Source organism: Homo sapiens, chromosome 3, assembly GCF_000001405.40.
Source record: "Homo sapiens chromosome 3, GRCh38.p14 Primary Assembly".
In the NCBI taxonomy this organism is placed as follows: domain Eukaryota; kingdom Metazoa; phylum Chordata; class Mammalia; order Primates; family Hominidae; genus Homo; species Homo sapiens.
The window spans coordinates 40476488-40492274 of record NC_000003.12 but is presented as its reverse complement, the minus strand read 5'-3'; the positions used below and the strand labels follow the sequence as shown (position 1 = coordinate 40492274).

Genomic DNA, 15787 nt, shown 5'->3' with positions numbered 1-15787 from the left:
CCCAGGCTGGTCTTGAACTCCTGATTTCAAGTGATACTCCTACCTTGGCCTCCCAAAGTATTGGGATTACAGGTGTGAGCCACCACACCTGGCTACAAACTTCCTTAACTTAAACATTCCTTTCTGGTAACTCCAAGTTCTTAGACCACACTTTGTTCTTCTAAACAATTACAAATTAAATAATCTCTGGCCCCGCACGGTGGCTCACGCATGTAATCTTAGCACACGCCTGTAATCCCAGCACTTTGGGAGGCTGGGGCGGGTGGATCACTTGAGTTCGGGAGTTCAAGACAGGCCCGGCCAACATGGTGAAACGCCGTCTCAACTCAATTGCACCACTGCATTCCAGCCTGGGCAACAAAGCAAGACTCTGTCTCAAAAAAAGAAAAAAAAGACTCTCTGAACCCACCTATGACCTGTATTCCTCTGCTTCAAGATATCTTGCCTTTTGGGACCAAACCAATGTATAACCTCCATGTATTGATTGATGGCTTTTTGTGTAGCTTCTGCTTCCCTGAAATGCATAAAACAGAGTTACATTCTGACTGCCTCAGGACTACTTACTCAAGGTTTCCTGGGTTTGTGTTTTCTCCAGGCCACGGTCACTTCACATTGGCTCAGGTTAAACGTCTCTGAAATATTTTTCACAGTTTGTTTTTTTACATTAAGTGCTGGGATTACAGGCATGAGCCACCGCGCCCGGCCACAAAGGTTTTTTTAAAAATGTAGTTTTTTAAAAAACAAAGGTTTTTTTAAAAAACCTTTGTGGCCGGGCGCGGTGGCTCATGCCTGTAATCCCAGCACTTTGGGAGGCTGAGGCGGGCAGCTTACCTGACGTCAGGAGTTTGAGACCAGCCTGACCAACATGGAGAAACCCCATCTCTACTAAAAATACAAAATTAGCCAGGCATGGTGGCGCATGCCTGTAGTCCCAGCTACTCGGGAGGCTGAGGCAGGAGAATTACTTGAACCTGGGAGGCAAAGGTTGTGGTGAGCCAAGATCGCGCCATTGCACTCCAGCCTGGGCAACAAGAGTGAAACTTCGTCTCAAAAAATAATAAATAAATAAATAAACCTTTGCATGTTGTTATACTGCCCTGAAGCAGTGATTCTGAGAAGGGTCAGTCTCTAGGCAGTAGGCCAAACCAGTGAGATCATAATGTCTGGTAAGATCAGTGTCAGTCTGTTTTCTGTTACTATAACAGAATATCACAGATTGGGTAATTTATAAAGAAAAGAAGTTTATTTAGCTCATGGTTCCGAGGGCTGGGAACTGTGGAGGGGCCGTATCTGGCCTTCTTGCTGTGTCATAACATGATGGAAAGCATCACATGGCAAGATGGCAAGAGCATGCATGTCAGCTCAGGTCTCCCTTCCTCTTCTTATAAAGCCATCAGTCCCATCATATGGGCACCAACCCCCATGCCATGTATAACTTTTAACTCCCCAAAAATGTAACTACTAATAGTCTACTGTTGACCAGAGCCTTACTGAAACAGTCGATTAACACATATTTTTTATGTTATACATATTAGACACTATATTCTTATAATAAAGCTAGAGAAAATATTAAGAAAATCATAAGAGAAATTATATTTAGTAAATATAATTCACTATATTATATGGATCATCATAAAGGTCTGTATCCTTGTCATTTTGTTAAGCAGGCTGAGAAGGGGAGAGGAGGGAGACTGGTCTTGCCATCTCAGGGGTGACAGAGGCAGAAGAAAGTCCATAAGTGGACCCACACAGTTGAAACCCAAGTTGTTCAAGGACCTCCTGTAATCTCTAAGAAGGTTCAGACTTTCCCTAGTCTTCTCTTCTAAGCCTTGGCCAAAATCACCCTTAATGCTCCATTAGATAATACAGGCTTTGTCTGACCTGATCTTCCAGATTTTTCAAGCCTCTACCCATTACTCAGTTCCAAAGCCACTTCTACATTTTTATGTAAATGTCAGAGCAGCAAACCTACTTATGGCTATCAATATTCTGTCTTGTTACATTTTGTGTGGCTCTAACTGAATACCATAGACTGGGTAATTTATACAGAATAGAGGTTTATTTAGTTCACAGTTCTGAAGGCTAAGAAGTCCAATATAAAGGTGCAGGCATCTGGTAAGGGCTTACTTGCTGCATCATGACATGGCAGGAGGCATCAAAAGGCAAGACAGAGCAAGCATGTGTCCCAGTTCCAGTTGCTCTTCCTCTCCTCATAAAGCCACCAGTCCCATCATGGAGGCTCCACCCTGATGAACTTGGCTAATCCTGATCACCTCTTAAAGACCCCCCACCCAGTACTGTTACAATGGGGATTAAGTTTCAACAAGAATTTTGCTGGGGATATTCAAACAATAGCAATCTGCACACTGAAAACATTTCTTGGTGTCATCAAAACAGTTCTTTATAAAACTAATTTAAAAGTGCCACCAATAAAATTCAGATTTAATCATAGGGAAATCTGGAGTAGGTGTGAGGACATATCCAAGGGCCTGCATAGTAACTCATCAGGAATGGACTCACTTCTGAGAAACTACAGCAAGTCATGGTCAGGTTTCTCTTCTTTGCCTCTGGTGCTCACCAGTGTGATGCCAACAAGTTCCATCCATGTACAGCTTTAGAGATTACTATACTCAGGCATCTACCCTAAAGGGTACAAGTCCAAGTCACTTTTTGTACCTACATATATGAGTGGGTACTGAAATTCAACAGATATGAAAAGGAATAGAGGCTGGACATGGTGGCTCAAGCCTGTAATCCCAGCACTTTGGGAGGCTGAAGTGGGAGGATCATTTGAGTCCAGGAGTTTTGAGACCAGCCTGGGCAACATGGCAAAACTCTGTCTCTACAAAAAATACAAAAATTAGCTGGGTGTGGTGGTGTATGCCCCCAGGGCTCAAGCAATCCTCCCACCTCAGCCCTCTGAGAAACTGGGAGGCTGCACTACCTCCCAGCTTCTTGGGAAGCTGAGGTGGGAGGATTGCTTGAGCCTGGAAGGTCAACACACTGCAGTGATCCATGATCGCACTACTGCAATCCAGCCTGGATGACAGAACAAGAACCTGTCTCAAAAAAAAAAGGAAAATGAAAATAGAGAAGGAACCCAAATTGAAAAACCATATCCCCTTCCAATAAAGCTCAAAGACATAATTTTACATTATTGCTATCAATGCCAACTCATCACTTCATTTTCTTTTTGCATAAAAGGACCCTCATAATTTTTTATACTATCAAGGTAATAAAAAATTCCAAGTCTTACATTCTTTCAGTGAGCCTTGCCCCTGGTCCACCAAATGGCCCTCCTTAACTCCTGAAAGCAGGCCAGATGCAGTGGCTCATGCCTGTAATCCCAGCACTTGGGAGACTGAGGCAGGTGAATCACCTGAGGTCAGGATTTTGAGACCAGCCTGGCCAACATGGTGAAACCCTGTCTCTACTAAAAATACAAAATTAGCGGGGCGTGGTGGTGCATGCCTGTGGTCCCAGCTACTCGGGAGGCTGAGGCATGAGAATCACTTGAACCCTGGAGGCAGAGGTTGCAGTGAGCCAAGATCACACCACTGCAAACAGCCTGGGTGACAAGAGTGAAACTCCGGCACCACCCCCCACCCCCTAAAAAAAAAAAAGCTCTTGAAAGCAATCATTGGACACTTTATCTGATTATGTTCTCCCATAGGCTTTGCATTTCTCCTAGTCTCTAATTATAATGCCCCATCTCATCATAATCATAATGCCATATGCCCTAAACCCCAAAATGTTCTGCAAACTCTTCCAACTCCAGTAGCCCCAGAAGAGAGATGCAGACTGATAATACAGCCCAAATGTGGACACGATAAAGAATAAGTACTGCCATTTCCTACCGGGGGATAAAAGAAACTAATCAAACATGGTCCTTAAGCGTGAGAATTTAAAATGAAGTTAGGAAAACAGTAACAACTTATACAAGACAAGACCAGAGGAATATCAATAGACACAATCAGGAGACCAGTGGAATCCCTAACTTGAGGTGCAAAGGATTTTGAGAACGTGACGGGGCTTACAGGGAGTGAGACAAAGGATTCGGGCTCTGAAGGGATGACTTCCCAGGAAAAGCGAGATCCTGAAAAAAATGTGCTATTTGGACAGGTGAAGGGTTGGCCTTTTCAGATGAGGGAAGCAGCAGGAAGAAAGGCACAGAGGGAGGAAGTACCACTGCATGTGAAGAAGATAAGGGAGGCCCTGGTGGGGCTAGGGCAGAGCAGGTATGTTGGGGAGGCAGAGGAGAGAGGATGGCGCAGGGACAGTAGGGCTTAACTGCGGATAGCCCTGTTCCATTGATGAGTTTCTTCCTAGTATGCCACTTCTGATGCTGGATGAAACTTGCATTCCATCTGAAGGCTTTCCCGCACTCCTTACACTCATAAGGTTTCTCCCCAGTGTGAACTCGCTGATGCTGAACCAGAGTGATCTTTTGACTGAATGTCTTCCCACATTCCTGGCATTCATAGGGTTTCTCCCCATTGTGGATTCTCTGATGCACTATGAAGCGGGAGCTACAGCTGAAAGTTTTCCAACATTCATTACATTTGTAGAGTTGTTCCCCAGTGTGGAACCTCTGGTGCTGAAGAAATACCGAACTGCGGTGGAAGGCCTTGCCACACTCTTTACATTCATAAGGTTTCTCCCCAGTGTGGATTCTCTGATGCTGAATCAGAACTGAATTAGAACTCAAACTCTTCCCACACTCCTTACATTCATAGGGCTTCTCCCCATTGTGAATTCGTTCATGGATGATGCAGTCATAGCTACAACTGAAGGCTTTCCCACATTCCTTACATTTAAAGGGCTTCTCCCCAGTATGGATTCTCTGATGCCGAATCAGTTTTGAATTATAACTGAAGGTTTTACCACAGTCAGTACATTCATAGGGCCTCTGTCCACCATGGAGCTTCTGATGCTGAAGAAGGTGGGAATTTTGACTGAAGGCTTGTCCACATTCCTCACATGAGTATGGTTTCTCTCCAGTGTGGATTTTCTGATGCCGTGACAGTTTTGAGTTATATCTGAAGGTTTTCCCACATTCTTTGCATGTGTAGGGCTTCTCATTAGTGTGAACTCTCTGATGCAGGTGAAAGTCTGAATGTGGGTTGTAGTAACTGCCACACTCACCACATTTATAAAACACCTGTTCTTTGGCAAAACCCTGCTTTGTAATGAGATGTGTGCTGACACTACTTTCTTCCAATTTCCTGGCTATCTCCTCCCTTTCAGTGGTGGAAGATTCATGATCCTGGACTGTCAAATCTGTGCAATCCCCTATCTTTGTTTTATTCCCTGTATCATGTAGCTGTGACTTCTCTAACCTGTCCTTGAAGTCAGGGTGCTGGGGAACGTCCATCAGCAGTCCCTCCACTATCAGTCTGTGGGACTCTGATTCTTTAGAAATGTTTAGCTGTGCAGTTTTTTCCTCATTCTCAGTCTTGGTTTTACCACCTAGCATGATAAAAAGAAAACATAAAAGTCCCTTATTTATTCCAGAAGGGAAAAGGGTTAATCAGTAACAGCTTGCCCTAGACACATGAATTTTTTTTTTTTTTTGAGTGGAGTTTCACTCTTGTTGCCCAGGCTGGAGTGCAATGGCATGATCTCGGCTCACCACAACCTCCGCATCCCAGGTTCAAGTGATTCTCCTACCTCAGCCTCCCAAGTAGCTGGGATTACAGGCATGTGCCACCACACCCGGCTAATTTTTTGTATTTTTCATAGAGACAGGGTTTCTCCATGTTGTTCAGACTGGTCACGAACTCCTGACCTCTGGTCAGCCTCAGGTCAGCCTGCCCAGCTCAGCCTCCCAAAGTGCTGGGATTACAGGTGTGAGCCACCACGCCCACTAGACACATGAATTTTTTGAGAGAGACACAGCCATCTGATGGTACCTCAAGGGGAAAGTAAACAAACTGGAGTTTGAGAAGGTAAGCAATCCCACATGGATGACAAAAACAGTGTGGATGGCAGAAGCTATTAATTGAGGCAAATGGTTAAAGAAAAATGGGAATGGGGTGAAGTTGCAGGAAGGGGAAGCAATGAAGAAAAGTAGAGGAAACCAAAGGTGAGAAAAGCAATCTCTAAACCAGAGAAGAGAAAGATGGGTAGGCAGCTCTAGCACCACATAGTATCCAGAGGGCTGGGAGGTACTGTCTACAACAGTGGATCTCAAAGTCCAATCAAGGCATAAAACCTGTCAAAATACTTTAAAATATTCTGTAATTTTTAAAGAAATGCTCTCTAGTTCTCTATCACAAGCCTGGCTGGACAGAAAGCAGTTTGTAACACTGCTGCTTATAAAGGGTTCATGAGAAGACCACAATTTTAAAACCCAAGTGCTGTCCTTTGGGAGACTGACCTTTGAAAGGAAAAAAGGCCCAGCCAAGAACCTGCCCATAATGGAGATGGCAATTGGAGCGGGGGTATGGGGATCATGCTTTCACTGGTAGCACCACAACATAGAAACCTTTTTTGCCTGTCAAGCACCAAAGATCTGACAAATGAAACTTTCATCTTAGTGTTTTTTGAGGCTTGTTGACCATGACTCACATTTTGGATCCTAAAACAATACAGACATGTGCACACACACACACACACACACACAGCTGAAACCGAAACAAAACAATGTCCTTATTAAGAGTGATGTATTCATGCCGGGCACAGTGGCTCATGCCTGTAATCCCAGCACTTTGGGAGGCCGAGGCAGGTGGATCACCTGATTTCAGGAGTTCGAGATCAGCCTGGCCAACATGGCAAAACCCCATCTCTACTAAAAATACAAAAAATTAGCCGGATGTGGTGGCGGGCACCTGTAATCCCAGCTACTCATGAGGCTGAGGCATGAGAATTGGTTGAACCTAGGAGGCAGAGATTGCAGTGAGCCAACATTGCGCCACTGCGCTCCAGCCTGGGGGATAGACCAAGACTCTGTTTCCAAAAAAAAAAAAAAAATGATGCATTCACAATAGACTTTATACTACTTTAGTCTTTATCTACACCTAATACAATGTAGTCTAATTTTTAAATGCTGGTAACAACTCATTGATGAGTTGCAACCCAGAGTTTAAAGAATATGGTTCTAGATTGTCAAGAACAGTGGTCTCAAATGGTGGTCCCTGGACCAGTATCATCTGGGAACTTGTTAGATATGCATATTAATGGGGCTGGGTTTGGTGGTGTGTGCCAGTAGTCCCATCTAATTAGGAGGCAGAGGTGAAAGAATCACTTGAGCCCAGGAATTTGAGACTGGCCTAGGCAAAATAACAAGACCCTATCTTGAAAAAAAAGAAAAAGAAATGCACATTCTCAGCCCCACACCAGTCTTCTGAATTCGAATCTCTGGAGGTGGCACCTGGCAATCTGTGTTTTAACAAGCTCTGCAAGTAATTCTGATACATACGAGAGTTTGAAATTTACTAATCTATAAACTACAAAAAACAGATTGAGGCTGCTGTTTTCATTGTTTAAGGCTGCACTTTCCCAAAAGGTGGCCACTAGCCACATGTGGCTATTTAAATGTAAATTAATTAAAATGGAATAAAATTAAAAACTCAGTTCCTCAGCTGCACTAGACACACTTCAGGTGTTCATGTGATTCATCTGGCAGGCTAAATAGAAAATGTACACCTGTGGCAAGGGGAAACACTAACAACTGCAGGAAGGATACTGGGAAAGCCCCTACATGATCTGAAATGCTGAAATCAATTTAAGGTATTGATTAAGGCAAAGTGGGGAAATTAGAAAGGAGCATTTGCCTTACAGAGGCTCTGAATAGCATAAAAGATTGACAGAATATGATAACAGAGCCCATAGAATAAGGAAAGCTGTATACCAAATCTCTGATTGGTCTTTACATTTAACTCAATTCAGTATCTTTCAAAAAAGAAAACCATTCATTCCCAATACATAAACAAGCTTTCTTTCAAAAGCTAATGTAAAATTCAGTGTTTATGAACTTAGAAAAATTCCATTTACATATATAGTTTTATACACACACACACACAAAATGTTCTTATAAAAACAAGTTCTAGCTGGGCGCGGTGGCTCATGCCTGTAATCCCAGCACTTGGGGAGGCTGAGGCAGGAGAATCACTTGAGGTAAGAAGTTCAAGACGAACCTGGGCAACATGGTGAAACCCTGTCTCTACTAAAACTACAAAAATTAGCCGGGTGTGGTGGCGGGCGCCTGTAATCCCAGCTACTTGGGAGGCTGAGGCAGGAGAATCGCTTGAACCTGGGAGGCAGAGGTTGCAGTGAGCCGAAATAGTGCCACTGCACTCTAGCCTGAGTGACAGAGCAAGACTCTGACTCAAAAAATAAATAAATAGGCCAAGTGCAGTAGCTCACACCTATAATCCCAGCACTTTGGGAGGCTGAGGTGGGCAGATCAACTGAGGTTGGGAGTTCGAGACCAGCCTGACCAACATGGCGAAACCCCATCTCTACTAAAAATACAAAGTTAGCTGGGTGTGGTGACACATGCCTATAATCCCAGCTACTTGGGAGGTTGAGGCAGGAGAATCGCTTGTACCTGGAAGGCAGAGGTTGCGGTGAGTGAAGATCACGCCATTGCACTCCAGCCTGGGCAACAAAAGTGAAACTCTGTCTCAAAAAATAAACAAACAAATAAATAAATAAATCTATTTTTTAAAAACCAAGTGCTTGGCCAGGCATGGTGCCTCACACCTGTAATCCCAGCACTTTGGGAGGCCGAGGGTGGGGCGGACCAAGAGGGCAGGAGTTCGAGACCAGCCTGGCCAGCACAGTGAAACCCCATCTCTACTAAAAATACAAAAATTAGCCAGTCATGGTGGCACGCGCATGTAGTCCCAGCTACTCAGAAGGCTGAGGGAGGAGAAACACTTGAACCCAGGAGGCGGAGGTTGTGGTGAACCACAACTGCGCCACTGCACTCCAGCCTAGGCAACAAAGCGAGACTCCATCTCAAAAAAAAAAAAAAAACCAAAACCAAGTTCTTACTATATTGTGTTTATATTCCTGAGCTGACGAACCAACAGAAGCCTGTTTGAAATCTTTTGTTTTTTAGAGATAGGGTCTCACTCTGTCACCCAGGCTGGAGTGGAATGGTGTGATCCTAGCTTACTGCAACCTCAAACTCCTGGCTCAAGGGATCCTCCAGCCTCAGCCTCCTGAGTAGCTGGCACTATAGGCACATGCCACCATGCCCAGCTAATTTATTTATTTATTGTAGTGACAGGGTCTTGCTATGTTGTTCGGGCTGGTCTTGAACTCTTGGCCTCAAGCACCCTCCCACCTTGGCCTCCCAAAGTGCTCGGATATAGGTGTAAGCCACCACATCCAGCCTGAAATCCTTTAGCTTTACAAAGAAAAATGGCAGAAATAAAATGGCGGGACTCGTCTTTTCTAGTTCGGGGATGAAGTTCTGGTAAGCAACACTTCTTTGAATAAGAGTGACTATTTTAATCCCCACAACCATCATATGACAAGGAAAAACCTTTTTCATGCTAAATTGTTAAAAGAAAGGAGGAGGCAAAGCTGGAAAGGAGGATGGTAGGCTCTCCTGCTCACCTGTGCACATGCCTCTCAGGGCCTCTCCCCCAGCAAGTGTCCAGGGATCTGGGCCCCATGCTGCTTCTCCTTGCTCCAGCTGGAATATCAGATCTGGTTTGGGGAATGGAAATGCTGCTACAGGAGAAAGAAAAGGAACATGAAGCTGAGGAGAATCAACACTGACCTCCCTCAGACTACACTCTGCTTTGCCAGATGAAAATAGAAGAGGATGGCCCAGGAGACTAAGTGAAGTCAGGGAGGAGTGAATCTGCAGAATCTAAGGAAGGGCTTGAAGCTTACTCTGGCCTCTAAGAGGACAGAATGCTCCCAGAGTCACTGGGGGGTGTGTACACGAGGGCCCTAGGGGACTCACACATAGGCAATAGGGCCAAGATCAGCTCCAGGGAACTGGAAGATGGAAGGAATGAAGACAGTGCACCAGGAACCTTCTCAGTTCTCTCTGTATCCAGAGGAAAGCCCCCTGCAGTTGGGTCTCCATTAGGAACCAGGGAAGAGAAAAGTCCTGTTAAACACCAAAGTGAACCGAGCTCTTTCTCCATCCAGCTACCCCTGGCACTGGGGATTAGGGAGCTCAGCCCATAGGGCATCAATTCTGATGGTATTAAAGAGATCCTAGTTCTGCTAAGGAGGAATCTAGGAGCTCCCAAGGGCAGAAGCTGAGTTTCAGAGAGGAAGGAGGACTTACACAAGGAAGTCACATTTGCATAATTCTCCAGCATCACCTCCCTGTATAGGGCCCTCTGCGTAGGGTGCAGGCTGGCCCATTCATTCTGGGTGAAGTACACAGCCACATCCTCAAAGGTTACTGGCTCCTGAAACAACAGGTTCCTGCCCAAGCCCTGCACAAGAACAGAGGGAGAGGCCTGAATTCCAGGAAAGGGATAAATTTACTGGAATCCATGGCACTGAGCCCCATGGAAGGTTTGTACTGGCAAGGAGAGCCACACAGGACCCCAGCAGGGGCAGCCCCGAGCCAGCATTCCAACTTTCCATGTGCATACCTCTGGGGCCCTAATATTATCATCCTAAGTACACAGCCCAGCACCTGTTGTTCTCTGCCTGGTGATCATGTCAACCCATGTCTGGTTCCACAGGCCAGGTATATTTTTCTGGCATGCTTTCTAAATCGACCACAGCAGGTAACCGTCTTTCACCCTGCCTCCATCCATCCTGAAGCACGTATCAGGGCCCTCCACCCAGCTTCTTTCTGGTCTTCCTCCTCTACATCTTCTGCTACAGACAGAGGAGTGATTTCATGAGGATAAAGTTCCTTTCATCCTGGATATTTCTCCCCTTTCTATCATCTTGCCTTATCAGAAGCTATTAATAGTTCTCCCTTGAAGGTGATGTGCAGTGTTACTTCTTTGTCTCCTAACACACTTCACTCCAGGACAGGATGGCAATCTCCCATCCTTCTGCAGAAATCTGCCCACTGATCACCTAAGCTCTGTCTGACCTGCCAATGCTGTCCTCTTCATTATGTGTCTCTCTCTTTCTGCTTCCCACTAAAACCACCTCCAGCTTCTCAGGGAAGAAGGACACCATCACAGGTTGTTTAAAGCTTTGTCCTGTGTCAGTTACTTTTAAATCAATTTGCTCAATCATTATAGCACATCTGTGAAATAAGAATTATTATTTCCATTTTCAGATGATGGGAATGAGCAATATTAAGCACTTTGAAATAGACTAAAAGGAGTCCTCTTTGAGTATTTATTACAAGGTTGTATAAGGAAGCAAAAAGTTCAAAATGAACTGACCACTTTTATATAAATTAGTCCCATTAAAACATCTATCTCTGACTCACACTGTAGTCTTTCTCAATTCATCATGTCAACAACCTTCTCTTTGTACTTAAGTCTCTTCTGAGTGAAGAAATCTAACATAGAAGTACTAGAAGATTTGGGCTGGGCACAGTGGCTCATGCCTGTAATCCCAGCACTTTGGGAGGCCGAGGCGGGCAGATCGCGAGGTCAGGAGATCAAGACCATCCTGGCTAACATGCTGAAACCTCATCTCTACTAAAAATACACAAAAAATTAGCCGGGCGTGGTGGCAGGCACCTGTAGTCCCAGCTACTCGGGAGGCTGAGGCTGGAGAATGGCGTGAACCCCGGAGGCAGAGCTTGGAGTGAGCCGAGATTGCACCACTGCACCCCAGCCTGGGCGACAGAGCAAGACTCCGTCTCAAAAAAAAAAAAAAAAAGTACTATGCAGTCATCATTGTAAAGATTGGTTTGGGCAAAAATCATCAATGGATGCTAAATCTAGGAGGAAATTTTGATGAGAAGCAGAATATTTGCATGATCTTAAATGTCTCCTCATAGATTGCTTATTAGTTACAAGAGGAAAACAGTAACTATACAGTAATCAGAATACCCCTTAGCCAGAAAGTTCAAAGGTGGCCGGCATGACTGAGGAACTTTAATTGATTTCAATTTAAATAGGCACATGTAGCTAGGGGGTACCTTCCTGGACAGTGCAGAATAGATACATCTGTTAATACTCTTCTCTTACTTCCTTCAGAGTCAACAACTAGCTGGGAATATGGACCTCAACTTTTCTTGACATTATGCTCTACCTCTCCATACCTCTGAAACATCACTCTAATTATCAGCACATTCTTTGGTTCCTTGTTTTCTGAAACACTTAGCTTCTCCAGATCTTCTCTATCTGTGATCACTCTTCTGTCCTTTACTTGCACTTACTCTTTCTCCATTAAGTGGGGCTATTGACTCCCTTCTATAGGAAGTGGGTTACAGGGGCAGCACAACATAGTGGCAAATGGCACAGATGTTAAGGCTATGGCTCTCAACATGGGGGCAATTCTGTCCCCCAGAGACTATGTGGCAATATCTGGAGACATTTTTAGTTGTCAGAACTGCAGTGTGGTGGTAATGGTAGTGCTACTGGCATCTAGTAGATAGTGGGCCAGGGCCATTTCTGAATATCCTATAATGAACAGGACATCCCCCAAACAAAGAATTATCTGGCCCAAATGTAAATGATGCCAAGGTTGAAAAACCCTGCTCTAAGCTAGACTCCCTAAGTTCAAATAGTATCTCTAATACTCATTAGCTGTTAACTTTGGATGAGACAATTAAACTTTCTGTGCCTCAGTTGCCCCCATTTGTAAAACTGGGATAACAATAGTAATTATCTGAAAGGACTCTTACAAGAATGGCATTAAGTTATTATCTGTAACGCACGAAGATATCACCTGGCACATGATATCATCTAAATCTCAGCACTTACTACAACCACAGATGAGATTGGGGGAACTTCCTAGAAGATTCTAAATGACAAATGTTCCTCTTAGAGATTGTAGCAAAGACTGACAGGTGTGTGTGTACCCCCTTTCTTTCTTAGTATTGGAATCCTAATTTTACTTGAGGTTGCACTCAACCCGGGCAACCAAGTGGGGCCAATGAAATGCAAGTATAAATATTGTTGGGGACTTATGGGAAGGTTCCTAAAAGAGAGAGGTTCATCTTTTTTTGGGCAGCTCCTCTTCTAGCTGGAATGCACACATGATGGCTAGAGATCAAGCAGCCACCTTGGACAATAAAGTGGCCTAGAGCAGGTGAGACACTGCTAGGATGGTAGAGCAGAAAGACAGAGCCTGAGAGCATAATAGGGGAGCTGCCACACTAGCCCTGTATTGACTCTTGATACTTTTGTATGAGAGAGAAGCCTTTACCTCGTTTAATCCACTGTCATTTGGGGTCCTCTTTGGGGAATCTAATCCTAAGTGATTTCTGTACTTCAGGCAAAGCACCAGGAGAGCACAGCATACCCCCACAGCACACTTCCTGACTTGTAGGAATGAATTTTTGCTGAAGTTCTCGAACAGAAGTGGATGGTCCAATATCCACCAAAAGGACACACACATTGTTTTTAAGTCCTTGGGATGGAGCTTTCTCATTACAAGATACATCCATTACATGATAAACTCAGCTTTCTCATTCCATGATCTAGGACACTGGAGAAAAATCCAGTAAAACCATCATCTACCACCAAGAAAACTGGAGGGAAAAGTCCTCCCAATGCTACATGAATTTGTAGCCAAGAAAGGATATAGACTCTCACAGAGGTTAGACTGACGTCTTCGCATTGAGCTAAAGGCACTGGCTTCAGCTCCAAACTCATCATTCCTCCAAAAATACATCTCCCTCATCAATCTACATTTTCCACATGTTTCCAGTTCTGGCTTCACTGTACCTTAACTGAGTGGTCTGCAGGGTAAACTCCTCCCTTGGAAGTGTCTATTTAACCTCAGAAATGGCTTTTCTTTGTGTACTGTGAACGCAGACTAGCACTCCTCAAATTTTAATCTGCCCTTTAATTTTCCAGATCTTGTAAAAATGTAGATTCTGATTTAGGAGATCTGGGGAGGGGGCCTGACATTTTGCCTAACAAGAGCCCTCTGTAATGCAAAAGCTGCTCATCTCCAGGCCACACTTTCAGTTCTCATGAATGCAGATTCCCACTTTCTAGGATAATTCATTCCTTCTTTTCCAACCTACCTGACTCTCCCAAATTCACCTACTCTCGTTCGTCAACTCCCCTCGCATACTGTTTTTACATACTTTATTGAAGGATGTAAAACTAAGCATGAGACTGGCCAAGTCAGGCTACTGGGGCTGTACTGACCTTCCATATCTGTTCTGAGTATGGAAAGCTGAAAGAAAGCTCTGCTCACCTGGAACCACACTGTCTGGAGCATGGCTGATGACCCCTGGCTTCATGCACTGCCCTCTAGGTTTGAAAAAGTAAGAACCTGCGGAGCTAAGAGAGAACCACAATGAGACTGATCTGTCTCGTCTCCTACACTTGCCGCCTCTTCCCCTCTGTCTCCTGCCACTAGCATTGCAGATATTCTTGGCACACTAGCTGCTGTCATTCACCCTCTCCACTGATTCATGGGATGTTGCAAATGCTCCCTCTGCATATTCTCCTATAGATCTGCTTGGTGACACTGGAAACTCTAGAAAGAATATCTGTAAAGTAAGAGTCAAGAACTGCAGTGGATTCGTGGCTGTTTTTTAAAAAAAATTCTTGGCCCCACTATGAATGCATTACTAAACAGTTTGTATTGAATGCTTCTAGTGTTCATGGCAAAAACCCAAAACAAGTCTCTGGAGAGAAAGTAGGATATAACGGGGACCCCTAAACAAACCACAGGCTGCAGGACAAAATATAAGTGGTGACCCAGCCCCGGGTGACAAGGGTAAGACGCTTAATGTCCCAGCGGGTGATGCTGACCGAAGACCTAACCGGGATCTGAACGCTCCACCCTGGGAAGCAGGAGACCCTATAGTCACGGCTCCCATCCTCCCCATGAATACCGCGACCCGAGGACATCAGGCCAGCTCCTCGGAGCAGGAAGGTCGAGGGCGTCTCTGAAGACTGGGGACTGGGCCCAGGCTCTGGCGGCGGCGCGGGCCCCTCGGCGACCTCTGCAAGGGCCCAAAGCCTGACCTCCAGAACAGGTAGCCGAGTCAGGGAAGCCCGGGAAACTCAACCCGAGCGCTCGCAAGGTGGCCAAGACGGAAGCATTAGCTGGCCGGCCGTCGGTCCCTACAGCCTCTCTAGGAAGCCGGGAGGCTGGCCCTTCTCTATGGTTCCCACGAAACGAAACTCCAACCCTTCGCTTCCCTTCTCCACAACCGCTCTGCGCCTGGTTTGTTTGTTTTTTAATTTTAATTTTTTCGTGTGTTTTTTGAAACGGGGGTCTCGCTATGTTGCGCAGGCTGTTCTCGAACTCCTGAGCTCAAGCTGTCCGCCCGCCTCGGCCTCCCAAAGTGCTGGGAATACAGGCGTGAGCCACCGCGCCCGGCCGCTCCTGTTTTTCTTTATTATTTTCTCTTATGTCTTAGTACCCCAACTACATGATAAATTCCTCCATATTTAACAATTTGTAACTTAATTAACTGAATTCCTAATTCCTTACCTAATTACTTAATTCCTAACTTAACCTTCTAATGAATTTATAGCCCCTGTCTCCCACTGAATGACTGTGACCTAAGACCATGGGGTATGGTGTCTCATTGTCTGCGTTCCTGGCTCCACTCTATATGGACTTGCTCAAGTTATACTTAAATCGTTGCCTCAATTTATCAGTTGAGAATGGTAAAAGTTTGTAATTTATAAATTCAGTGAATTAACTGAGTCAATTCATGCAACAGTTTTGTAAACCAAAAATAAAATTCTAAGTC

The 15787-nt window shown here is 44.8% G+C and overlaps 1 protein-coding gene across 11 annotated transcripts, besides 1 other annotated feature; it reads right to left on the bottom strand.

The window, feature by feature from the left end:
- Positions 1 to 1221: 1221 nt before the first annotated feature.
- On the bottom strand, positions 1222 to 15153 carry ZNF619 (zinc finger protein 619). Of its 11 annotated transcripts, none has more exons than NM_001363277.2 (6): positions 14918 to 15153; positions 14272 to 14357; positions 10259 to 10412; positions 9926 to 10075; positions 9571 to 9687; positions 1222 to 5469 (listed from the first exon to the last, which is right to left on the bottom strand). In NM_001363277.2, exons 4-6 carry the CDS (start codon positions 9927 to 9929, stop codon positions 4034 to 4036), a joined length of 1557 nt encoding a protein of 518 aa, NP_001350206.1. In that variant the 5' UTR covers positions 9930 to 10075; positions 10259 to 10412; positions 14272 to 14357; positions 14918 to 15153; the 3' UTR covers positions 1222 to 4033. The 11 variants fall into 11 exon arrangements, with proteins under 11 accessions (NP_001350206.1, NP_001138554.1, XP_011531909.1 ...); NM_001145082.4 differs by having other exon boundaries at positions 9926 to 10045; XM_011533607.2 differs by having other exon boundaries at positions 9571 to 9684; positions 9926 to 10045.
- Positions 14840 to 14979: an enhancer, noted in NCBI's record as "active region_19718". NCBI's record gives its function as "activates an Ori minimal core promoter by ATAC-STARR-seq in GM12878 lymphoblastoid cells {active_cell/tissue: GM12878}" and the evidence as "EXISTENCE:reporter gene assay evidence [ECO:0000049][PMID:35858748]".
- Positions 15154 to 15787: the final 634 nt, after the last annotated feature.